Here is a 26788-nt window from a genome sequence, read left to right on the forward strand (position 1 = left end):
TAACACATTAGGATATGGTTTATATTAAGTGCCAGGGTAGCAGTTACTTGTGTTAGAAGGAAAATGACTAGAGGCAGAGAAACCCATCTATGACTTATAAGTCTTGTGATATTTTACAGTGCATATTGGAGTTTTCTCAAACATTAGGGAGCTAATAGCTACCACATAGAGTTTTGTGAAGATTAAATAAATTACAGCTAAAACACCAACTATAGTAATTAACTAATGTTAACTCTTTAAAATATTTCCTTTCTATAGGTCTATTTATACATCAATTAATTCTATAATCTACATAATACATGCATTCAAATTACCTATTATGTTCAGTGCTTTAACAATTAATTATGTTGGGTAACTTGTGTTTTTCTAGGAATCTGTCCATTTTATCTAAGTTCTAATGTGCTGACATAAAGTGGTTCAAAATTCTTTTCAAGTCTTTGAATTTTGGAAAAGTCTATAAATATGTCTCTTATTTTTGATGGTAATTTGTGCCTTCTTTTTCTGTGATCAGCCTATTTAAAGGAATAACAATTTTATTAATCTTTTGATAAATAACTTGTTTTCAATAATTTTCTTTTATCTTTTTTCTCTAATTTATTGATTTATGCTCTATTCTTATTTTCTTGTTCTGAGTTTGTTTTGCTTTCCTTTTAATAGGTATTCGAGGTGGAAACTTAGATTATTGATTTTCTGTTTGCCTTTGGCTTTTAGTAGATTGGCTCTAATTTCTCTACATGTAGTTCCCTTTGTGTTTACCTACCAGGTTCTTTCAGGATCTTGAATCAATAGGGTAATTTTTAAAAAACAACAAATTTTGGAATTTTTTAGCCATTTTTTTCAAATAGTTTTTCCAGCACTATTACTTTTATAATAGTGGGCTGTAACTTTTTATGTGTATGTTGAGATGCTTATGACAAGTTTCTGAGGCTCTGTTTATTATATATATATATATAATTTTTTTTTTTTTTGCTATTTCTTGGATTGGAAACCTATAGTTCTGTCTTCAAATACATTGATTATTTCTTCTGACATCTAAAATCTTTTGTTGGCTCTACTAAATTTTTAAATTTTGTATAGTTTTCAAGTTCAGAATTTCCACATTATTTTTATAGATTGTATTTTACTATCTTTTAATTTTTCTGTACTTATTTCAGTTAGTTTCTATTAGCTTCATTTTATTTCCTGAAAATGGGTCATACTTTCCTGTTTTTTGCATATTTAGTATTCTTTAGTTTTTTGAAAAACAGACACTTTAGAAAATATATCCATACTAGATTGTGATTTATTTCTCTGACAACTGTTGGGTTTGAGTAACTGCCTAGACTTAACCTTTTGAATCTCTCTCCCCCATGGTGTGCAGCACCTCGTGTCTCTGCTCGGTTACTTTTTTTTACCTTAATCCTTGTTTTACTTGTTAGCCTGCCTTCTTAGAGATTATTCATGTGCACACCCAGCTTAATGATCAGTCGATAATTTTGGCAAAGATTATGCTCAACATCTTGGGCCCTCTAAGTCTTCCTCACTCTACCAAGTAATCTTCCTATGGGTTGGAGAATGCAGTCAGAGTTGCAGACAATTTTCACGTCTCCCTTGTTTTCACTTTTCACTGCACTAGGTTGGTTGGTTCTTGTGCATGCATGGTATTTCAGTCAGCCTGGGGTGTGTGGGAGCTTATCTCACCCTCCTGTGCCTTTTTCTTCTCCAAATATTCCCATTAAAAACATATCTTGTTGGTCTGCTGCTCTCCTTAAAAGTCACCGCAACTTTGGGATAACAAAGTTACAAATGTTTACAGTTTGTTCCCCAAAATTAATTTATTTTGTGCTTGGTAAAGTATATGTTTTTTATTATAATATCATAGCTCTCATAATAATATGGCATTTATTTTTATTTAATTTTGATTAGTTGTTCACTCATATTTTTAATCTTCAGATATTTTTTGCTTTTATAGATAACTTTGTATTTTGGTTTTGTTTGGCTAAATCCAATATGAAACCACATTTTTGCATTTTGTATTGTTTTAGGTCATGTATAACATTGTAATGGTCTTTGACATACTCCTATGTATGTGATCTCATTTCATGATTTTGTTTGTTGTTAGTTTCTTTTGAAACACCATTTCTCTTATGCCTTTTGGTATCTAAACTATTCTCTATTTTGTTATGATTGTTTCATTTGGAAAGTAGAATGTAATTTTCATTTACATGTTTATATGACCACGGTAAACTGTATGTACATTAATGCATACCTGTACAATTAAACACATTAATATTTTATTCTATTTAACAGAAGACAGAGAAGTTGTGTGATTTTTGGCAATCTTTCTTTTCTACTACTTTTCAATTTCTCACTATTTTAACCCATGTATTTGTCCTGAATTGGGAGTGTGTGTGTGTGTGTGTGTGTGTGTGTGTGTGTGTGTGTTTGCATGTGTTTAAGGGGGTAGCTGGCTTTCATTCAATTACTCCACTGGTCATATTAGCCATGTTTTTCCTTCTATATTGCTTTTAATACTGATCCGTTGATTATATGTCCCTTTTAAGTTGCATTAATATTATTACATATTGTTGTTTAAAGGTACAGCCAGTATTTATAGACTAAGGTACTATAATGTAGCCCTCTTTGATAAACCTTTCAACTTATCATTAAAATATTTATGAAGGCCCTGAAAGATACAAAATAAAAAGAAACTAGAAACTAAGAGTATTAGTTATTAAAAATACCAAGGGCAATTTTATTATTGTTACAGATAATTTTTACTAGTTATAACATGAATGGTCTGTATTGAAAAGCAATTTGTCACTTCCATTAGCTTTGTCCTAAAAATGCAACAATTATATGAAAACCACCATCAATTTAATCTTGACAAATGTATACATTTCATATAGGTATAGATAGAAGTTGGCCCTGGGGCCCCTGTGAATATAACGCAGGCCTCTCTAGTTATACATGCAACAAGGAGAATATAGAAAGGGGTCACAACATGGGGCAATTAATGTGTTCAGAACACCTGAAGTGTGTGTGTGTGTGTGTGTGTGTATCCTGCACATTTGGAGAGCTCTAACACATTCCTCTTGAGGTGAATTTGCAGGATGCCAGTGACTCCTTGTGCAATTCTGGCTATGATTGCCCTGTATCAGTGTCTCTTTTATTCTTTCTTCCTGCCATTTAGAAGAGAACGCCCCAAGACTTCTGGAAACATAGGTGAAGGGGCTGGAAATCTGCCTGGTGTCCATTCTGCCCACAATGCCAGCAGGCCCTATGGAAGGAGTGAGGAAAGCGTAGGTCAAGAGGGAGACCCTCTCATGCCTGAATTCAGCCTGTGCCCAGATAACTTGTTTGGCTTGATTATGCACCACAGATTCACACCCCTCCCACCCCCTCACACACACACACATGCGTGCACACACACACACACACACACACACACACACGCACTGCTGCCTTAAAGTGCCTCTAAACTTCCCACCTCTATACCATCATCTGGTGAGAAGTATCTTAATTTTATGTATCAACAGCCATTTTTGTTGACTCTTAGGCATTTGCCCAGGGGTAGCAGTATGAGGAAAGAAAAAGATTCATTCTGGAGACAGAAAACATGGTTCAAGCCTCCATTCTGCCACTTTTCAACTATTTGACTTTAGTTAAGCTACTTGATCCCTCTGAGCTTCACAGATCAGCCTCAAAACGCCACGCTTATCATTACCAAAGGCAGTTCTCTACTAATGAGAGAGGAATCAGTGATAAATACTGCAACTTCCCAATCTCTCAATAGACAATTCTAAGTAATAATTTGCACAGTTCCTCAAAGGTCCCTAGAAGGACTGAGCCCGTTTCACATAGTAGTAATCACTCCACTAATGCACAGTACAACGGTAAAGTTACTTATCTTCCCCATTCCTGCATTGTGCTTCCAGAGATCACCTCTCCTACAAACTCCTGCCTTCAACTCCTTGTATTAGCTTCTAGAAGAACTGAAACAAATCATCTCATTATGTTTAAGACAATCCACAGTAATTCTCCAAGATAAGTTCAACATCTGCTTGTTCAAACAGGCAGTTTAAATAATGGTGCAGTAGGAATAAGCACCTCTGCAAGTTTCAAGTCTTTGACAGTAGCAATTAATTCTGTACTTCCTTCAAGAAGTGCTATTGCTTTTGATTTTGCTGTCATGGCAAAAGGTCGACACTAAGAATGTAAATTTAGCTTTTGCTATGTAATAACCCTCATTTCATGGATCAGTGTACCAATGTGCAGATTCTGCCAGCTGCTAGGTAGGTAGATAGTTAGGGAGGGAGACAGAGAGAGAGATGTTTTCACTATATATGCCAGGACTGGTGTGTGGTCCCAATTGGACCCACACAGAGATGGACTCTGGTCAAGACTCTTTCCATCATCTAATATTTATAAGCCACATTTTGATCAGTGGCCATCATGGTAGATATGGAAGTGGTGAGGTTAAGAATTAGCTTTTCCTCAATGTCACTAATAACCTACAGAAAACCTAAAAAAAAAAAATCCCCTTTTTCACTGCACACACCCTGGAAAATGGCCACACATCTTGAAGACTCAGAGAAAGAGTTATATCCTATATTGTGGCCATGTTGCCAAAAGTCTAGCCCCCTCCTCAGACAAGGAGCTGTAGGTCTGCAAACTGAGTAAGCAGCTATGAATTACCACTATGGATGAGTCAGGTTTCTTCCTATGTGACCTGGAATGTACTTGTTTATATATGTCTAGGCTGCCCCTCTATTTCATTCCTAGTGTTCCCACCTTTGGTTCCTTATCAACACAGAAGCCTGGGAGTCAAAACACTCCAAGTTCCATTCTGTTAATCAGCCATGGAAATTGGGACCACTTGTGCTGAAGTGCTACCACCTGTGTCTACTATTCTGTGCTCCATTTATTTCTACTATAATTGGGGAGCCCAACTACATGCTGGTATCTTCTATGATCATTTTTAGTCTTCAGAGGTCAGCCTCCAAAGAACATTTTATTGTTGCTTTTTTTTTTTTTTTTTTTTTTTTGCCATGAAAGGAGTGTTCACTAGGTTTCCCTAAGGTTAAAAGATGGCTGAGTAGGTTACACATAGAATTTTCATGCCAACATTTCCATGTCCTTGAATTTCCAAAATCCTGCCTCTAGATTATGCTTGGGACGTCCCACCATCTCCATTCCCCGGAGTGACATCTTTAAGACCAGGCACACAGTCATACACATAAGCCCACACCATAATCACAAATTACAGATGACTATATTCATCCAATAACATAGGCTGGATCCAACTTTCCATTTTGTCATTTTTCATCTAACGCCCTTAACAAGCCATTTCCATACATGCTTCCTTGACTGTTACAGATACAAATCAGCAAGATTCTGCACTATTTAGATGTCTATGTTATCTCCTCCTTGAATGGACATTGTACTTCCCTGGGGCTCTGCTGGAAAATAACTGTAGTAATTGGTCTGGAGGAAATCGTGGATGGTGAGCTTGGGTCCTGAAGACAATCTGCATCTCTTTATAATGCCAGATCTCCATTTGAAGTTCTTGGAAAAGTTCTAGGCAAAGAAAGTTTGGTTTCCTCATTTAGGTGGGAGAGGGGCTGTTTTCATAGGTGACAAAGATTTTGCAGCAATTTTCAATTTAAGATTCTCAGCCATATTTGAGTGTGCCCAAATTTTTCCCATTCCATGTCTCAGAATCTCTCCAGTTCCTGTTCATTTTACTTTAGAATAAGAGGCCAGGAATGGATGGGATTTAACTGATTGTACAATACTATAACTTGTACAATCAAGGTCTGGATCTGGTCTTCCACTACATCTGCCTTGCAGCTACAGGACATAAGGGATTCCTTTAACAATAGTCCAGAGTCATTCTGCACCCATGACTTGAGCTCAGAGTGCAAGGCCTCAGTTTAACATTTTCATGTTATGAGCTCTCCGTGGTAGTTACATGCAGTTATCTTAACCCACAGTCTTTGTCATCACCATTGTTTGCAAAGCATGCATGTAGAGCAATATCCTATGATTGCCTTATGCCTCAGTATTCACTGACACTGCATCCCCCACCACCATGTGTGATTACTTCATTAATTGTGATCCCGCTCCACCCTAAAGAACCTCTCTAGCAAGTGTTCTCAGGGAAGTGACAAGGCCTCCAAGGGGCAGCCGCACCAAGTTTCCAACATCATCAGACATCTCTCTAGTGTACATGTGGCAACTGGAATAAAAGAGCTGCCAGAATAAAGGGGCCTCCGGGAGCTGAGACAATTAGCATGCCTGTGGCAATCATTGTGAAGCAGAGATTTAAAGTCCTATCCTCATTTTAAAAGTTTTACACTCATTTTCTTCCCAGACATTAGTACAACCCTAGGCGACTGGAATCCCAACAACAACTGCAAGAGAAGGAACATCCCATTTAAATTGATGAGAAATAACCCAGAATTGTGTATGTTTGTAGCATCTAGGGCCTTATATTAATACACAGAACATATCTAGGCATTTTACATTTTATAGTAAAATGATGTTAAATTTCCCTTTTCCTGGTGTTTTGGAGATTTGTGTGTGTGTCCCCAACATCTGAATACACTAGAAGGCAAAGGAAGACAGGTTAAAAACTGGGGAGATCAGGTTTTGACTCACAGCTCATTTCCCAGCCCACTCACCAGCTGCAAAACAGGAGTGCCTGGGGAGGCAAAGGGACTACAACAGAAGAGTCAGGGAGAGCCAGTTGGCAGGAAGCCAGGAACTGAGTGGACAGTTGATATGGCAAGACCAAGGTGAATTCTCCCACTACTGTGCATGCACCTGTAAATCCTCAGTTTTACAGGTGGAAAGGCGTCAGTTTGACCTTCACTATACAGAGGACACCATTAACAATGCATTAGCACATAAGGCTATGCTCTCCCTCCCCTTATCAGGCCTGAAGGGTCAAAACCAGCAGGTAACAAATACAGTAAGTGGTGTATCCAGATGGAACAAGCAAACCCAAGATGCCTCTATTCCCAACTGCAAGCTTACAAGAGTGCAGCTACAGCAATCTGGGGGTTGGGAAGGGGAAAGAGGCAGTTGGGTGGGTGAAAAAGCTGTAAATCATGAAGAAGTAATGGAAGTAATTCTAGATGTCTTTATTTTTAATACCTCAAAAATATTACTACCAATTGCTTCAGAGTGACCTGAAACCATAATGCAGTGGCTCTCCAAGTGTAGTGACACTCACTCCCGGGCAACATCAGCAGCATCTTGTAATCTGTTAGAAATACAAATCGTCAGGGCCACCCTAAACCTGCACAATGAGAAACTGTAGGATTGGAACCTAGCAATTTGGTTTTAACAAACCCTCCAGCTGATTTTGATGCAAGCTAGAGTCTGAGAACCACTGCCATAAAGGGATTTGCCTATGATTTCATGCAGGTGTGGGGAAGAAAAATCAGAAGAACTTGCTTAAGGTAGTGGTAGAAAAGAGTTTTTCACATGAGACCTTCAGGGTCCACCAGGCTCTACAAACCAGTTACATATAGCTGATTGCAGATGTTTCAATGTGGTAAATTTACAGATTAAAAAAATATCTAATCTTAATTTTAATAGTTCCATTTTTTTTACTATCAGTCCTGTTTGCTGTCTTCAGTATTTGCTCTCTATTCTGATATTTTACTGGATCTTTTGACATTTTTCCTCTGATAATTTCTTCTTTGTGTCACACGTTTGTCTTCAATGTTTTTAGTCCCACTTCTCAGCATCAGTCCAACTATTTCATGGCTCTAGTCATTATTTGAATATTGTTATGGCAGTCATCTTTATTCTTGAATGCTGAATCCTCTTTTGATTTGGGAAAAAAATCTTTAAATTTTACTAATAAATCTTTGAACTTTTCCTGGTTTATATTTAGTCATAGATGAAGTTCTTATGCAGGAATTTTTCTTTCATTAATAAGATACAAACATTATGGTCAAATATTATTCCTTGTTTGCTCATATTTCCAAATTGATTCTTTTTATAATCTTTGAAGGATGGAACTCTTTGAATGTGGCTTTGCAACGCTGCTTCATAGATCAACTAACAGTTGAGGGTAGGTCTGGAATTTGACATGGAGGGTTAGCTTGTTAAGTTTCACTAAAAGTCAGCAGCCAAGCAGAGAAAGGCCTGAGGTAGAAATGTGGAAGGAAGTGGGAGTGAGGAAGGTGAACAGCACAGTGAAGCTGCCTGACATTTCCCTGCTGAGGTCAGGTGGGCCAAATGGATTAGGCAGAGGATTAGGCAACAAATCACTATAAAAGGTGCCAAATGGATTAGGCACCAAATCACCTGCTATGCCTTGTAGAGTTGTCTCATGCATGGCACTTTAAAAAGACAACCCATCTCTCTGTAATTCAATAAGAGAAACATTTTGGAGCAAAGCATTCAAGGAGAATGTTGGTACAGTTTGTTCACCTATAACCCTGCTGCAAGCTCAACTCACAAGCCAGAAGCAGCAGCAACCACAGATTAAAGGCACTAGGTGCTGGTTCCAACAATGTATTACATCATTCCAAAAGCTAGATTGTGTGTTTCTGAAATCAAACAGCTACTTTTCTTTTCTTTTTTTTTTTTTTTTTTTTTTTGAGATGGAGTCTCGCTCTGTCTCCCAGGCTGGAGTGCAGTGGCATGATCTCGGCTCACTGCAAGCTCCGCCTTCTGGGTTCACACCATTCTCCTGCCTCAGCCTCCCGAGTAGCTGGGACTACAGGCGCCCACCACCACCCCTGGTTAATTTTTTTGTGTGTTTTTAGTAGAGATGGGGTTTCACCGTGTTAGCCAGGATGGTCTCGATCTCCTGACCCTGTGATCCGCCCACCTCAGCCTCCCAATGTGCTGGATTACAGGCGTGAGCCACTGCACCTGGGCCAAACAGCTACTTTTAATTCATCTTTATCTACACTTCACCTAGCACAGCACTTGGTAACTATTTTCAATGGTGTTCAAAGAGCCATTGCTCCTTCTTTTACCCCGTCGCGGTCAATGTAAATTTACCGATGACTTGTAAGGATATTTGTCACCTGTGAAGTACCATACAAATCTGAGGGATTATTTTTTTCTATTCTATTGTACATCAACAATATAAGTGGGGAATATTTCAGAGGAACAATCATATTGCTCTTTTATCTTTGCCAAAGGTTACATTAATTACATATCTGCTGTTGGGCAAAGCCCCCACAATGCCTTTTTGTTGTCATTTAGGATGACAGCAGGCAAGTGTAGAATCACTGAGCTCACATTACTGAAACACTTCATATGGTGGTAGGCATAGAGTAGATGCTTAACAGAAATTTCTCTGAAACTGTATGCCCATCCATTGCCACATTTCTCATATCTACTGACTCACTTCTCTTGGACTAGGAATCCTTTATTCTCACTTTTTATTTTATTAATGTAGGCACTGTTTTCTCACCGAAGGATGAAGATAAACAGCTCTTCATCTTTATTCTCTTATTATGTCTCCACATTTTCTTCCCTATTGCTTTTCCACCTTTCCCTGTCTTCTGTCTGACTTCCACTGATGAGGTAATGTCTTCTCCACTCTTGTCCTCTCTGCATCTTCATTCCTCTCTATCTATTGTATCATAATGACCTTTCTCTGCTTAAAAAGGAAAAAAAAAAAAAGAAACTTCCATAATTTTTAAAAATTTAATGCCTGGTAATCACCAGTTCACAGACTGAAGGGAATATTCCTTCTTCCACCTCCAGCTTAGGTATCATCTACTTTTTTCAATGCTTCACGATTTACATCAGCATTTTATTGTAAGTCTATAGATTTCCACTGAAACGTTTGAAACATATAAAATATTACATTTCAATTTTAACAAAAACAGTGTAAGCCCTCTGTCTAAAATACTTCTCTCAGGGACCCACCGCCACCCAGAAAGTTACAGTTTTCCTACTATCCTAGCAGATTTTGTTGCAAATATGTAGGCAGATTTTTATTTTCAGGTGGAAGTGAACTGAATTAAAAGTGAAGGTAAATCCTTCTCATCTGATTAAAAATATTATAACTATTTCAGATGTTCTATATCAAGTTCTGTATTTCTCACTGCATTTTAAATAAGGATTCATTTTTGAATGTTGATTGTAAAAATAAGATCATAAAATTAAAATGGAAATAAAGAAGTATGCCATCTCCTATCAAATAGCACATCAACTTTTATTTCTCTATGCTTTTTAGTATTTTTCTTTATGCTTTCATCCCAGTAATTACAATGCAAATTTAAGTTTTTATTGTTTTCATTTCACATTTTATCAAGAACATTTATCTGTTGCTACATATCCTTCAAAATTATCATTAAGTAATGATATACTGTTTCAGTAAGTACATGCCTCATTATTTAATTAATTATTTAATCATTTTCTAAAATTTGGTGTTTTCTATTATTAATGTAAATATAAAATGACACACTGAGAAAAAATGATGAGATAGGCATGTAACAAATCACTTTTACATACTTTAATATAAGGCATAATTAAATATATGATTCATACTTGTATTCTACATGACATTCTGCAATAACTGTGTTTCAGTATTTACAGAAATTCTATAAAATATAGCCTCAAATAAGTAATGGTCACCAAAGGCTGTCCTCTCCTTTCCTGTGTATTTTTAATCTATGCTGTCATCTTTACTGAGTTCCCATTTTCTTATTCTAGGACCCTAACCCAAAGCTATTTTATGTTTTTACTTCTGTGTAATACAATTTGGCAGTCCACTGCTATTTATTCAACTTTTGGCAGAGAGAGAAAATAATAATAATGGCAGGGTCCAATTCTGATCCAGACTAGGACAGTAAGTGTGTTTTGAGTCCAACTCTCGTCTCCACACTTGTCTGTGCATCATCCCACCAAAAGACATTGGCCATCCCCAGGGTGTTAGATCTGCCCTCTGCTTGAGAAGTGACTGTCATGAGGTTTTCATACCTTCCACACTGACTAAAGACTTCAAGGCTATTTGGGAGACTGTAAAGAGTTCCCTGTGGCTGCAGCCGTGACTGACCTGGGTCCCGATACTCTCTAAGTCTCATTTACTTTATCTAGAAATGAAGGGAATCATGGCTAGTCTCCACAGAATTTACATAGACCCTGTAGTGCAGTCATGGAATATTCTGGAAATGAGAAGAGATTGCAATTTACATGTACCAACAAAATTACTCTTCAAAGACTTTCCAGCTCTCTCAGACATTCCCAAGATAGGTTGTGGGGTATGGCTATGTAATCCAAAGTTTTGACAAGACTTACATTTAGACGCACAGGCTGTTGCCCGTGAATATTTACCTGGCTAGCCTGAACTTCAGTTTGATTTTAAAGACTTTTAAGCTATATTATAGAAAATGCAAGGTTGCATGCACAGCTAAAATAAAGAAGCAACAGTTATAATAAAATGTAAATATAAGGTACTACTTATATTTCTAGCTATAAACTGAAAAATTAGATTGTTGGGAAAGACATTTTCATCAGAAATATTTAATGGCAAGAATATAGCATATTAATATTGTATTGGAAATACTCAGCTGTTTATGGAATAACAGATTTTAAAAATTTACTTGCCATTAATATGGCTACTGTTGTTCTATATACTGTATATAATATGTAACTTTAAGGTTTACAAGTCATTACTCGTTGCTAAATTATAAGTGCTTTTATCTCTTTTCATAAATCAACACTAATAAGTAGTTTTTTTCTAGTATGACAGAGTTAGATATAGTTCCAGATATAGTTCTCTATTCCTGAAAACTAGAGTAGAAAAAAACGTGTAAGTGTAAAGAGTATATCAGTCAAGTTCTTCATGAAAGCCAAATAAAAAGATTATGAACCTTAAGATCTTTCATGAATAGTTTCTCAGGTATCCTACATCAAAACTTGTACAGGTCCCATATGACAATAATTGTCCTTTATTCATGCAGTTATACATTCATCAATACACTTATACCATCAAGATTTTTATTATTATTATGTGATAGTAGTGGTTATAGTGCTGAAAGAGCAGAGGTTGTACTTCCTCAAAGGAGATCCCTTGATTCTTGAGAATACCTAAAAGAAATGTTTTGCTTCCAGCAGCAAGGCTCACTAGGTATTCAGAGAAAATCCTCTAAAGTAATCCTGAACAAAATGAATATATTCCAGAGGCTGGGGTAGGGGGATGGCTTGGAGCCTGGGGGAGAGAGGTTACAGTAGGCCGAGATTGCACCACTGCACTCCAGCCTAGGCATCAGAGCCAGACCCAGTCAATCTGTTTCTCTCTCTATAGTTTATATATATAATTTATATAAAATATATTTTATTATATATATTTATCATACAATATAAATTATATGTATCATATATATTATATATAAAATACATAAGTGTGTGGGTGTGCCTGTGTGTCTGTGTGTGTTTGTCTGTGTGTGTGTGTATTACAATGTGTTTGACTTGGTGGCAATTCAGAAAAATTCATCTGCAATGGTAAGGAAGCATGAACCCAAGACACTAGCATCTGTCATATCTGGTGGCCTGTGGTGCTAATTTTAATGGCTATTGGCAGGGACAGAAGGCAAAGAATGAATTCTTAGAGAATGAAGTCATATAACCTATGTATCACAATGAACCCGAAGCTAGCGATTTAGTTTAAAATGATTCCAGATTGTGATTTATTCTAGGTTCTTGGAAGAAGCAAACACAAATCTCTCAGCCCACAGATAATTATAATAATGTTTCAAAAGTATAAATTCAAAATCAAAATTCTAGACATAGGAGGAAAAAAGAACCAAGAGCATGACTCATCAGAAAGAACAGAGAAGCAGATCGCCAATACTGAAGATATAATGTTACATTCATCAGATTCGCAATAAAAAGAAATTATTTTAATATTTTTAACAAGACAAAGGAATTACAGGAATATTAAAGCACAGAGACTATTCAAAGTTGACAAAACTAAAGTGAAAAGAGAATCAATAGCAAAAGAAAATAGTAATGTAACAATTGGGCTAAGCACCAGATTGAACACATTTGAAGAGACAATTTATGAACTAGAATATAGAGCTGAATAAATTAGAATGCAACCTGGAGATATGAAAAGATGGAAAACACAAAAAAGAGATAAGAATCAAGGAAGAAAGTCTGAGCCATTCCAACATATTAAGTCCAAAATACTGTAATAGAGAAAATGGACAATGAAGTAATATGTGAGGGGATATAGCTGAGAACTGAAAAGGCACTAATTCTTAGATACAGGAAGCTCAAAAAAGTCCCACCCAAAGTAAGTAATAAAAAATCCACATGTAGAAATACTATAGTAAAACTGCAGAAAACCGGAGACAGAATTCTTTAAAGTAGCCATGAAGTAAAAACAGAATATCTGCAAAGAAAAGACAATTTGATTGCTGTCAGATGATTTAATTTTCTTCACTGGACTTCAGATGCAGATTAAGTTATGGTTATATTGCAATCTTATTTGTTCCCCCAAGGCTCTTTAAAAATTTTTTTCTAAATCATTTCTTCATTGTTTTTCCCATTTTTCATTCTCATTCTCCCACCCCATAAATATTCTAGTATGTATCAAGTGAATAATCATTACTTGCATGTATGTGTTCTTGTAAAATTTGTATAAAATAAGAAGATACTAGGTTATCTATCTCATTTTGCTTCTTACTTTCTTTACTCAGCTCTGTTGTTAGGATCCATTCTTTCTATGCTGTGTACCTCTCTCATTTCTTCTGATTGCTGACTAGAACTCTATGGTGTACATCCACAGTAATTTAACTATCTTGGTAACCAGATTGTCTCTAATATTTCACCATTAGCAAAAACAAAAGTAGTTGAATATATACATGCACCATTTACAACAGCTAAAATTTGGAAGCAACTTATGTGTCCATCAACAGATGGATGGATAAAGAAAATGTTATACACAATGGAGTCCTATTCAGCCATTAAAAGGAATGGGATCCTGTCATTTGCAACAATATGGATGGAACTGGAGATTATTATGTTAAGTAAAACAAATCCAGCACAGAAAGACAAACATCACATTTTTTCACATAGTCATGGGACATAAAAATCAAGACAATTGAACCAATGGATATAGTGAGTAGAAAGATGGTTACCAGAGGCTGGGGAGGTTTGCAGGGGTTGGGGGGAAGGTGGGATGGTTCATGGGTACAAAAAATATATATAGACATAATGAATGAGATCTACTATTTGATAGCACAACAGGGTAACTATAGTCAATAACTTAATTGTACGTTTTAAAATAACTTAAATAGTGTAATTGAATTGTTTGTAATTCAAAGGATAAATGCTTGGGGGGGATGGATATCCCATTCTCCATGATGTGCATATTTCACATTGCCTGCCTATATCAAAACATCTCTATGTTCTCCCTAAATATGTGCACCTACTATGTACTCACAAAAATTAAAAATAAAAAAATTTAAAATTAAAGTAAAAAGAAAGTTAATTTACTTAAATTTGATTTTCTTAAATAAGATAAATGCAATAAAATTTTGATTAAGACTGCATTAGATTTTTACATTAATCTGGAAAGAACTGATTACATTAGAATTTCCTGTCTAATAATGAGGACAATTCCTCTCCTTATTTAGATGTCCTGTGTCTTTCACTGTAGCTTCAGTGCTTTCTTCACAGAAGTATTATGCATGCTAAAGTAAGTTGTCTAGATATTTGTATTTTTCTCTTATGTAAAGTCTATCTTTAATTATGATTCCCAGTTTATATTAGTGTGAAAAAGATTATTTTGATGTTAATTTTGTATCCAAAGTTCTAAACTTCCCCCAGTTTTCTAGTAGTGTTGTTGTTGATCTGTTTGGTTTTTAGATAATCATATCACCTGACAAAAATAACAGTTTAAAATTTTTATTTCCTTATAGCATTGGGCAACACCACCAGTCTTTATTCAAGAGTATGGCAAAAATGTGTACTTTGTAGTATTCCTGATTTTTAAAAGAAGTCATCGGAGGTTACTTCAGGTATTTGATATATAAACTTACATATTTAAGAAAATCTGCTTTTATTCAAAGATTAAGAGTTTTTAATCATTAATAAGCATTAAACTTTTTAAAGTATTTTTCATCAATTGAAATAGTTATTTAAATGTTCTCTTTAAAGTTTATTCAAATGGCAAATTTTAATAATTTATTTCTCAATGTAGAACCATCTTTGAATTCCTAAACTGTACGATTGACACTACATTTGGTAAGTTAATATTTCATGAGAATTTTTGCATGTATGTTCATGAATAAAATGGTCCACTAACATTCTTTTTATATAGTTTGACTATAATATGGTTAATGAATTAAGATTAAATAAATTATAAAATGACCCACGAAGCAATCTTTCTCTATTGCTTTCAAAAACATATATGAAAGCAATTATTTCTTTAAATAATTTAAAGAAAATATCTGAAAAATCATCTTTTTTTCCCCACCTTTGAAGGGGAAAATTATTTTTATGTACATAATACCACAGAAGTCTATTCAAGTTATCTATCCCTCACTGTACCAATTTTGATTATTTTATACATTTTAGTAATTTATTTTACCCCATATTTTGTCATGTAGAGTTGTTAATAAATCTTCTACTTGCTATGTTATTATGAATTTTTTCAAATTTTCTCTTTTGTTAATTTGCATATTATTTCTTGTTAGTCTTGCCAATAATTTATCTATATTATTAATTTTTAAGGAACTAGATTTTATTTAAATTTTCTAAACTTTTATTATTGTCCTGTATTTCATTTATTAGACAAATTATTCTAGATTTCTTATGTCTTTCTTTTTACACTTTTTAAGTTGAAAGCTTAGGTTATTTGCTTTTAACTTATCTTGTTTCCTGATATACACATTTTAAGTAATATATTTTTCTAAATACTGCTTTAGTTCTTACACAAAAGTGAGCATTAAATATTTTCATTTTCATGCAATTCTAAGTATTTCTAAAATCTGTTTTTTCCTTTGTAAAATAATAATTTATAGTGAGGTACTATTTTGGTTTCAAAAAATAAGAGATATCATTATGCCATTGAAAATACTAGTTTTTAGTTTATTAAACTTCTTTAATAAAGATAGTTTGATATATTTTGTTTGAAATTAATTGAAGTTTTCATTCATAATCTAATTTGTGGTTCTTTTAAAAACATTTTTGTTTGCTTCTAAAATATGACCAGAAATAGATATTTCATATATACATATGTACATATGTATTATTAGTAATGGTATTGTTCATATCTCTAATTTCTGCATAATTTTGTTAACATCTTCAAATATGCAGTTAATTTATGTGATTCTCTCTGTAGTTTTACCAGTTCTACTTTGCTCTAATTTAAGGCTGTATTGTTAAGCATATTTTTATCATTTTTTTGTTTCAGTAGAAAACTGTATTTTTCTCTTTTTCCTTTACACAAATAGATTTACATATTAAAATAACTGGCCACATTTTTTTTTTGGTTTATATTTTCCTGGTATAAGCTTGCCTATCCCTCTTTTGAAGTTTGCTGGGTTTTTGAATGGCAAGATGCTCTTGGGTCTTTTTTGCTTCTTAAATCCAAGCTCAGAGACCATATATTTTAATTGACAGTTAAATATTTATATCAAGACAGGAATAGGTTTAAAAGTTATTTCTAACTTTACGGTCTCAATTGTAAAAGAAGTATAAGTAAAATTCTCAAATTGTATAAGAAGACTTCAACTACTCTCCTACTTCATATTCCCAAAATTTGAGCTCAAGACCCCCATCTCTCCTTAGCATCAAAACATTGTCGCTCTCCTCTAACTCTCTTTTTTGGCTTCTAAGAGGTTCTTTATATTGTGTGGGGTAGGGAAAAATAAATGTTATATATGACCACTTATTTTATCACAAAATCTTTCACGGCTTGCATTTGGGCTGTGGCTTTTTAATTCAAAAGCTAAGGATTTAACATCTTTGCTGTCTGGCACCCGCCTGATATAATAGATATTTTAGATCAACAACCAGATGGAGACTGATCACTTGTTTGGGGAAAAGGAAGTACAGCGATTAATGCCTTCCCATTTCATCCACTGCACCAAGAAGTCTATTCTAATTTAGGGTGACAGTGAATGTGGTCTGGCCAGCGAGCCTGTAAAGTTCTTGAAATCAGAGACTTTTGCTTATTTTTATTTATTCTGTGCCCAGCTCAGTGTTTGGCATATCAGAGGCAACAAGCAATACGTATTGAATGAATTTCATAGTAATACAGTAGCTCACACTCCACCAATAATGTGGAAATGTCAGCTTAAAAACTTAACTGCATAAAGTCTGGGATAACATTACTGCAAAATTAATGAAATGACTAAAAACATCAAGCATGTTTTACAGACCAGGAGTCCCGAGAATTAGCTACATAATCCAAATCTGTCCCAACCCAACTGTACTTGATTATTAAATGGTGGTAACTTTCTGATGTGCCTTAAAATGTTATCAGAAATAATTCTGAGTCCAGTACCAGACAGATCTGTCAAGGTGGAAGCAACAATTCCAAGAATCTTCCAGGTGTTGACCTCTGCTTCACAGACTCACTCCAGGAGGATTCTGTTGATCTGGGAGCCTCTGCTTTGCTGCCTGCTTGCTTCTTTGGCCTATAGGGGACTTCCTACCATATTCTGCATGCACATGGCCTTCTCCACATTTCTCTCCTGCCCCCCTAAGATAATAGCCTGCTATCTTTGAGAAAAGTGACCAGCCAGAGGAGAGGAGCCACATACCAACGAAGTTATATTCAAATTTATTTTAATTCAAAAATGTTACAGCAATTTTACTCTACTTTGTTATAGTCTACTTATAATAAAAGTAATTGGGAAGGAATGTCTCCCGGTTTAAACCTAGGCTGGAATAGAAGATTTTTGCTTAGCATCATGTCCATGACCTTCATCTAGGAAGCAAAATTATGATTTGTGATAAAACACTTGAATAATTTTTTGATAGACCTAAATGAGATTAAGAAATTCTGGGACACTAAGGTTGCCCATCCAGCTGGGTAAAAACGCTAAAAATACATACATACATACATACATACATACATACATACATACATACATACATAAAAACATACAAACATACATATAATAAAATACATACATACATATATATATGGGTCTAACAATAATTATCTAATCACTTTGTTAGATGATACCTTTGAATAATCTTATTTTAAGAACTCTTTTTCTTTAGGAAAAGTTTGCTGCGGGCTCTCCTCAAGGAAGGTAGTCTTGGAAGCCCAGTTAGCAGTAGAGAGGCAGTATTTCCAGTCCAATGGCAACTGTGCAAGCTAGCAGCAGTGATGAAAAAGGGCAGGGGGTAGGGACTTCCACCACCTATTAGCAGTTGGAGGAGGTGGTGAAGCAAAACTTCTTGAAGGAACTGTGTCTAGTAATCCATGGGCGACTCTACGATGTTCCCCACTTTGAGGATCCCCCTGGCAGAGAAAAGGTTCTGCTGGAACAAGCTGGTGCAGATGCAACTGAAAGTTTTGTAGATGTAGGCCACTCCTCTGATGCCAGAGAAATGCTAAAGCAGTACTATAATGGTGCTGTCCATTTGAGTGACCTCAAACCTGAAAATTGTGCAAGGATTCTTCAAAAAATGACACATGCAAAAGTTTCTGGCCATATTGGATTTTCCCTATCATAGGTGCTATCCTCTTAGGTTACCTGTCTCACTCCTACATATTGGAAAGCAAATCCTCCTGATGGACCTTGTTGAAGTCCGGAAAGCATATCTACTTTGGAATGAAAACAAGAGACTTGCTCGGGAGCTGCAGAAATGCCCTCTTCTCAAATCCTGCCAGTTGTATTCTCCCCCCTTTGGAGCCAGGACAGTTGGCCAGACAACCACCTCAGATCTGGGACCACTATCCATCTTTCAGATTATTGCTCCCAAAGTACCTGTTCACTGTTCTTTGTCAAACAATTGCTGGTGTTTCTTTTCTTCACTGGTTTCCATGAGTACCCTTTTATTTCAAAATTTTCTGTTCATAATTGTAGTTCATATGTTATAGTGACATTGCTCTTTGTCAAAAATGCCTGCTTTCCAATACTTTTAAATGCACATTAGACATTCTTAACAGGGCAACAATCTAATGCTGAACCTTTTCCTTTTCCATGTTTCTTTCAAGTAAAATCTTTTTAAAAATTCTGATTTAGGGCCAGGTGTGGTGGCTCATGCCTGGTATCCTAACACTTTGGGAGGCCAAGCTGGGAGGATCTCTTGAAGCCAGAAGTTTGAGACCATTCTGAGTAACATAGGGAGGCCCCATCTATATATTTTTTAAAATCTTATTTAATTTTGTTATTATAAGGAGTTTAATTTATGGAGTAAAAGTATGTACCTATTACTTAAAACTGCCAGATGATTTTTGTTCCTTGTATGTGTGTGGTAAAACTATAAAGAACTGTGCGGTCATTTCCTCCCTCTCGAGCTAGGGTAGAAGGCAGCTCTTCACACCTCAAGTCCGGCCCCTTCCCAAGTGGCACTGGACAAAAAAACTACATTTCCCATTTATTTCTTGGAGGTGGAAAGAAACAAGGAAAGAGGGGGACGAATTGGGGTGACAGACCCTTGGTGAATTCAGAGTAATCTTTCTTTAGAAAAATATTGAAAAGCACTACTGCAGGATAGGAGTTTAGAGAAAGCACCAAAGCTTTCACTTTGGTTTGGCAGCAGTTTCTAGACATTTGGTTTTTTTCTCTTCTAGCTATCTTTTACTGGTAAAATACAAATGTATAATTATGTCTGTAGAGCTTTGCCAGAGATTTTCCCTGGTTTTTTTTATTGATTAGTAAATTTTTGATTCTCCATTTTCCAAAAGTAAGAGGCTCCAACTTGGCTTTCTGTCTGCCCACCAGTAAAGTAACTTCCATATAGATGGTATTTGAAAGTAAGAGTTCTTGACAAGAGACTGTCTTCCATTTCATCTCTATTTTACCTCCCTGTCTCCAATGTGTGGTTTTGTTCTGTTTTTCCATGAAAACAAAAAAAAAGTGGTAGATTTAAAAAAACGTTTGCATAATCATTATTCTGCACCTGGAACAAACTGGGGATATGGCAAGTCCAAAGATAAACAAGCAATCATTGTATTCAAGAAGCTTATGAAGCAGATGACATCTTAACTGAATCTTTGATTTTACTGACTCAACAAGAACCCAGACTTAGTGAAGGATACTGAGAAGTAGGGAACTATGCTTGAAAAACTGAGAGACTTTATGTCCTCAGGTCCACTGCCAGGAAGCTGAACACATTATCCTTTTAGACCTCAATGGCAGGCTACATTTAAACATTTCCCTCTCATGTTTATGTTCTTTGACCTATTCCTGGAGATCTCATTTCCAGTCACCCAGTTAAAGCTATCACATCTAAATATAATCCCAATAGAAGAATGAATTTAGTAACATCTGATATGTTACTCTCAAAAGATTTATTCAGAAGAGTTTGTAGCCTCTTATTATTTTCTTTTTTGTTCAGTCCAGAACCAAAGTACTAAATGCCAGTTAATTACTCTGCTGACTCAGAACCTAAAGAAGTTGTATGTGTTTAGCTGAATATCAAAGCAAAGAGAGAGAGAGAGAGACAGAGACAGACAGACATAAAGAGAGATTCAACTCAAGCTGCAGATGGTACCAAGATGAACCCAGCTAAGACGTGGTTGGTTCTCTTCCCCTAAACAAGGAATAATTTTTAAGTATATCTGCCATGATATAACAGGTTAACAACATAACATTAACTATTTGCTTCCAGCTTTTAAAAAAGACAGCTTTTGTTTAAGGCCTAGATAAAATTCTTGGTTCTTCATGGCTTTTTTCACAGCCTCCTGAAAAGGCAGTATTTTTCCAGTGCTGAAGGAGCTCATAATTTAAACTGGCTGGTCCTGTCAAATTCAACTTGACAGAGCCACTGAGAAAATAAAGTCTATATTTCATTTGATATTTACAATACACATATTTCAGGCATTACAATTATGAAACCTACACTATTTTATTTAAAATAAAACTAAATCTGAGCACACATACCTATCCAATATCCCATGTCATTAAACACAGGTGACTCTATATAAAATGCACTCAAGTGTTCAAGCCTTTATAGGAATTAATGAAAAGGGAGGATCTGAGTGAGCTAAAGTAAACATGAACTGTAACTTAAATAGTTTGACTTGGTATATTTTACAGGTTATTTAAATTTATTGAACCACTTCTCCAAGAGAAATTGCTTTGTGCCCTTATAAGAGGAATCCCATGCAACATATACATATGTAGTAACAAGTTAATAGTCATCCTATCCTATTATTGTGGCATTTAAATTTGTATTGTGATTTTTTTTTCTGCTGAAAAGTTAAAATTAACATAATAATGCAAGATGATTCCATGGAATAAGTGAAGTGTGCTCTTACTAAAATTAGTAGATTAGAATCTGTTTTATCAATTATTTTACTGTATGATCAATATTAAGTACACAGAGTAATGTACTAAAACAATACAATGTATATAATGTTTAGTTCTATTTAACTAAACATTCATCATCAAATCATTTAGATCAAATTTTTATAATCAACAAAGAATGCAAATCAAAATTAAGTCACAAAGAAAACTGCCTATTGTGCAAATATTTTAACCATGAAAACTATTTTTGGTCAAAAGTATATTTAAATTACAAACAAAAATGTTATTAACACGAATGTGTTTGATAATTTTTTTAAAGTTCAAAATAAGTCATTGATGAAGAAATCATAATAGAAATTAGAAAACATTTGCTGCTGAACAACAAACATGATGTATAAAAACAAAATGTTATTGAATGCTTACATTAGAAAAGAATTAAAGATTAATAAGCCAAGCATCCATATCAAGATTTTAAGAAAATAAAAAATACCAAGAATTTAAGGAAATAAAAAATGGAATAAACTGGCCAAAAGTGGTAACAAATAAAGGATCAGAAAGTAATATCCTAAAAACAATGCGGTAATAGGGAAGATTAAAAAGAAAATCAAGCAAAGAAAATGGTTCATTGGGATTTTTCTTCTAGCCAAGGTAGAGTAATAAACTCACGAAAGTGCAAAAAAAGAAAAGGAAGACGGGGAAGGAAGGAGGGCAGGAAACAAGGTCATATAAAAAATAAGGATTTGAAAGACACCAGACACAAATGAGATGAGCCTTCCTATCATCACTGACACAGGGTATTGACTTGAGAATGTTTTAAGATTGCAGCACAGGGAAGCAGAGCCCAGGTAAAGCCCAGCAGATTGCCTGACTTGAGGGGATGGAGCTGAGATTTTAGGAAGAATAGGACACTAGAGTTCACAGGATACAGTACCAAAGAGAAGAGATATATACACAGAGAGAAAGCTCTGGGGACCTGCAGAAGAGCCCCTTCAAGTATTCAGCACAGCACTGATCAGCCTGTAAGTGTGAGGAAACTACCTCAGGCCAATGAAGGAAGCACCTACTCACAATTAAAGGTACTAGTGCCTGATGCCCACATAGAGCCAGGAATAGCACCTGTTTGTACCAGCCAGACTGGACGACTCAAGATTCATAGGGCAGAAGGCAGTGCATTCAGAAGGGTCTGGCTTCAGTAGTGGGAAATAATTATTTCTAGAAAAACCTCTTCTCCAGTCTCTCCTGCAAAATATACACAAGATTCAAACAATTCACTTTTATTCCCAAGGAATTTAACTTCATTCCAGAACAAAGCTCAAAATTTACAGGAATACAAAAATACCCAGCACCCAATAAGATAAAATGTACTATGTCTTGTGTCCAAACAAAGTTTACTTGGCATGCAAAGTGGCAGACAAGCATTATCTATAATAAGGAGAATAATCAATAAATCAAAACCAACCCAGAATATAGATGTTAGAGTTAGCAAAGAGCCTTTAAAAAATTACTATAATGGCATTCCTTATGTTAAAAAACTTAGAGACATCAAAGCTATAAAGACCCAAATCAAACTTTGAGAGGTAAAATCTGCAATGCCTAATCTCTGAATAGACCAATAACAGGCTCTGAAATTGTGGCAATAATCAATAGCTTACCAACAAAAAAGAGTCCAGGACCAGATGGATTCACAGCCGAATTCTACCAGAGGTACGAGGAGGAACTGGTACCATTCCTTCTGAAACTATTCCAATCAATAGAAAAAGAGGGAATCCTCCCTAACTCATTTTATGAGGCCAGCATCATTCTGATACCAAAGCCTGGCAGAGACACAACCAAAAAAAAGAATTTTAGACCAATATCCTTGAAGAACATTGATGCAAAAATCCTCAATAAAATACTGGCAAACCGAATCCAGCAGCACATCAAAAAGCTTATCCACCATGATCAAGTGGGCTTCATCCCTGAGATGCAAGGCTGGTTCAATATACGCAAATCAATAAATGTAATCCAGCATATAAACAGAACCAAAGACAAAAACCACATGATTATCTCAATAGATGCAGAAAAAGCCTTGGACAAAATTCAACAACCTTCATGCTAAAAACTCTCAATAAATTAGGTATTGATGGGACATATCTCAAAATAATAAGAGCTATCTATGACAAACCCACAGCCAATATCATACTGAATGGGCAAAAACTGGAAGCATTCCCTTTGAAAACTGGCACAAGACAGGGATGGCCTCTCTCACCACTCCTATTCAATATATTGGAAGTTCTGGCCAGGGCAATTAGGCAGGAGAAGGAAATAAAGGGTATTCAATTAGGAAAAGAGGAAGTCAAATTGTCCCTGTTTGCAGATGACATCATTGTATATCTAGAAAACCCCATTGTCTCAGCCCAAAATCTCCTTAAGCTGATAAGCAACTTCAGCAAAGTCTCAGGATACAAAATCAATGTACAAAAATCACAAGCATTCTTATACACCAATAACAGCCAAACAGATAGCCAAATCATGAGTGAACTCCCATTCAAAATTGCATCAAAGAGAATAAAATACCTAGGAATCCAACTTACAAGGGATGTGAAGGACCTCTTCAAGGAGAACTACAAACCACTGCTCAAGGAAATAAAAGAGGATACAAACAAATGGAAGAACATTCCATGCTCATGGGTAGGAAGAATCAATATCGTGAAAATGGCATACTGCCCAAGGTAATTTATAGATTCAATGCCATCCCCATCAAGCTACCAATGACTTTTTTCACAGAATTGGAAAAAACTACTTTAAAGTTCATATGGAACCAAAAAAGAGCCTGCATCGCCAAGTCAATCCTAAGCCAAAAGAACAAAGCTGGAGGCATCACACTACCTGACTTCAAACTATACTACAAGGCTACAGTAACCAAAACAGCATGGTACTGGTACCAAAACAGAGATATAGATCAAAGGAACAGAACAGAGCCCTCAGAAATAACTCCGCATATCTACAACTGTCTGATCTTTGACAAACCTGAGAAAAACAAGCAATGGGGAAAGGATTCCCTATTTAATAAATGGTGCTGGGAAAACTGGCTAACCATATGTAGAAAGCTGAAACTGGATCCCTTCCTTACACCTTATACAAAAATCAATTCAAGATGGATTAAAGACTTAAATGTTAGACCTAAAACCATAAAAACCCTACAAGAAAACCTAGGCATTACCATTCAGGACATAGGCATGGGCAAGGACTTCATGTCTGAAACACCGAAAGCAATGGCAACAAAAGCCAAAATTGACAAATGGGATCTAATTAAACTAAAGAGCTTCTGCACAGCAAAAGAAACTATCATCAGAGTGATCAGGCAACCTACAAAATGGGAGAAAATTTTCACAACCTACTCATCTGACAAAAGGCTAATACTCAGAATCTACAATGAACTCAAACAAATTTACAAGAAAAAAACAAACAACCCCATCAAAAAGTGGGTGAGGATATGAACAGACACTTCTCAAAAGAAGACATTTATGCAGCCAAAAGACACATGAAAAAATGCTCACCATCACTGGCCATCAGAGAAATGCAAATCAAAACCACAATGAGATACCATCTCACACCAGTTAGAATGGCAATCATTAAAAAGTCAGGAAACAACAGGTGCTGGAGAGGATGTGGAGAAACAGGAACACTTTTACACTGTTGGTGGGACTGTAAACTAGTTCAACCATTGTGGAAGTCAGTGTGGTGATTCCTCAGGGATCTAGAACTACAAATACCATTTGACCCAGCCATCCCATTACTGGGTATATACCCAAAGGATTATAAGTCATGCTGCTATAAAGACACATGCACACGTATGTTTATTGCGGCACTATTCACAATAGCAAAGACTTGGACCAACCCAAATGTCAAACAATGATAGACTGGATTAAGAAAATGTGGCACATATACACCATGGAATACTATGCAGCCATAAAAAATGATGAGTTCATGTCTTTTGTAGGGATATGGATGAAATTGGAAATCATCATTCTCAGTAAACTATCACAAGGACAAAAAACCAAACACTGCATGTTCTCACTCATAGGTGGGAATTGAACAATGAGAACACATGGACACAGGAAGGGGAACATCACACTCCAGGGACTATTGTGGGGTGGGGGGAGGGGGGAGGGATAGCATTAGGAGATACACCTAATGCTAAATGACGAGTTAATGGGTGCAGCACACCAGCATGGCACATGTATACATATGTAACTAACCTGCACATTGTGCACATGTACCCTAAAACTTAAAGTATAATAATAATAAAATAAAATAAAAAAAGATACATTGGGTAGAATAAGTAATAGATCAGACATTGCAAGAGTAAAAGTTAGCAAAATTTAAGGCATAGTATAGGAACTACCCAATATGAAACACACAGAAAAATATTAATTAAAAAAAATGAAGACTATCAATGAGTTGTGAGAGACAACTTCAAACAACCTGATATACATATAGGTGTAGTTCTCAAAGTAGAGAGAAAAAAAAATTGAAGACATTGTGGCTAAGTTTCCAAACTGATAAAAACTATACATCCACAGATATAAGGAGCTCAACAAACTCTAAGTACAAGTTTTCCTGAAGACAATAAAACACATAATATCCAATTGCTCACACTAATAATAAAGAGAAAATCTCAAAAGTAGCCACATTATTGTACATAGAAAAAAAGTAAAGATAACATCAGAATTCTCCTCAAAAATAGTTCAAGTGAGAAGATAGGGGAAGACCATTTTAAAGTGCTCAAAGAAAAAGGAAAAAATCCTGTCATCCTAGAATTGTATATTCAGTGAGCATATCTTTCACCACTGAAGACAAAATAAAGACATTTTCAGATACAACATACCCCAAAAGCTGAAAGACTTCTTAAATAGCAAAACAGCACTATAAAAATTGTTAAAGGAAGTTCTCCAGGCAGAAGAAAAGTGATACCAAATGGGAATGTGATTCTACACAAGTTAATTAAAAGCACTAAGAAAGGTAATTATAAGGGTGAAGTTTTTTATTATTTAAATCCCTTTAAAAGATAATTAATTATTTAAACAAAAATAATAATACCATAAGTTGAAATTTATAAGTTATGGAAAAGTAAAATGTACACCAACAATAGCATGTCATGGGGAGAATCTGAAGTATAATATTATAAGGTTCCTAAACTATATGTGAAGTAGTAGAATACCGCACAAAAGTAGATTATAAGTTAAATATGTATACTATGAACTCCAAATCAACTGTAAAAATAACAAAACAGAGTTAATAAGCTAACAAAAGAAATAAAATACTAAAATATATCCAGCTAATTAAACAGAAGACAGAAAAAATAGTACAAGGGGAAAAAGACATATGACAAATACAAA

General features: G+C 35.4%; 1 pseudogene; it reads left to right on the plus strand.

Moving 5' to 3' along the window:
• The first annotated feature begins 18282 nt into the window (after positions 1-18282).
• Positions 18283-18725, plus strand: LOC112268162 (cytochrome b5 type B-like; annotated as a pseudogene).
• The last annotated feature ends 8063 nt before the right edge of the window (positions 18726-26788 follow it).

Source organism: Homo sapiens, chromosome 15 (assembly GCF_000001405.40).
Source record: "Homo sapiens chromosome 15, GRCh38.p14 Primary Assembly".
NCBI classification, from domain to species: domain Eukaryota; kingdom Metazoa; phylum Chordata; class Mammalia; order Primates; family Hominidae; genus Homo; species Homo sapiens.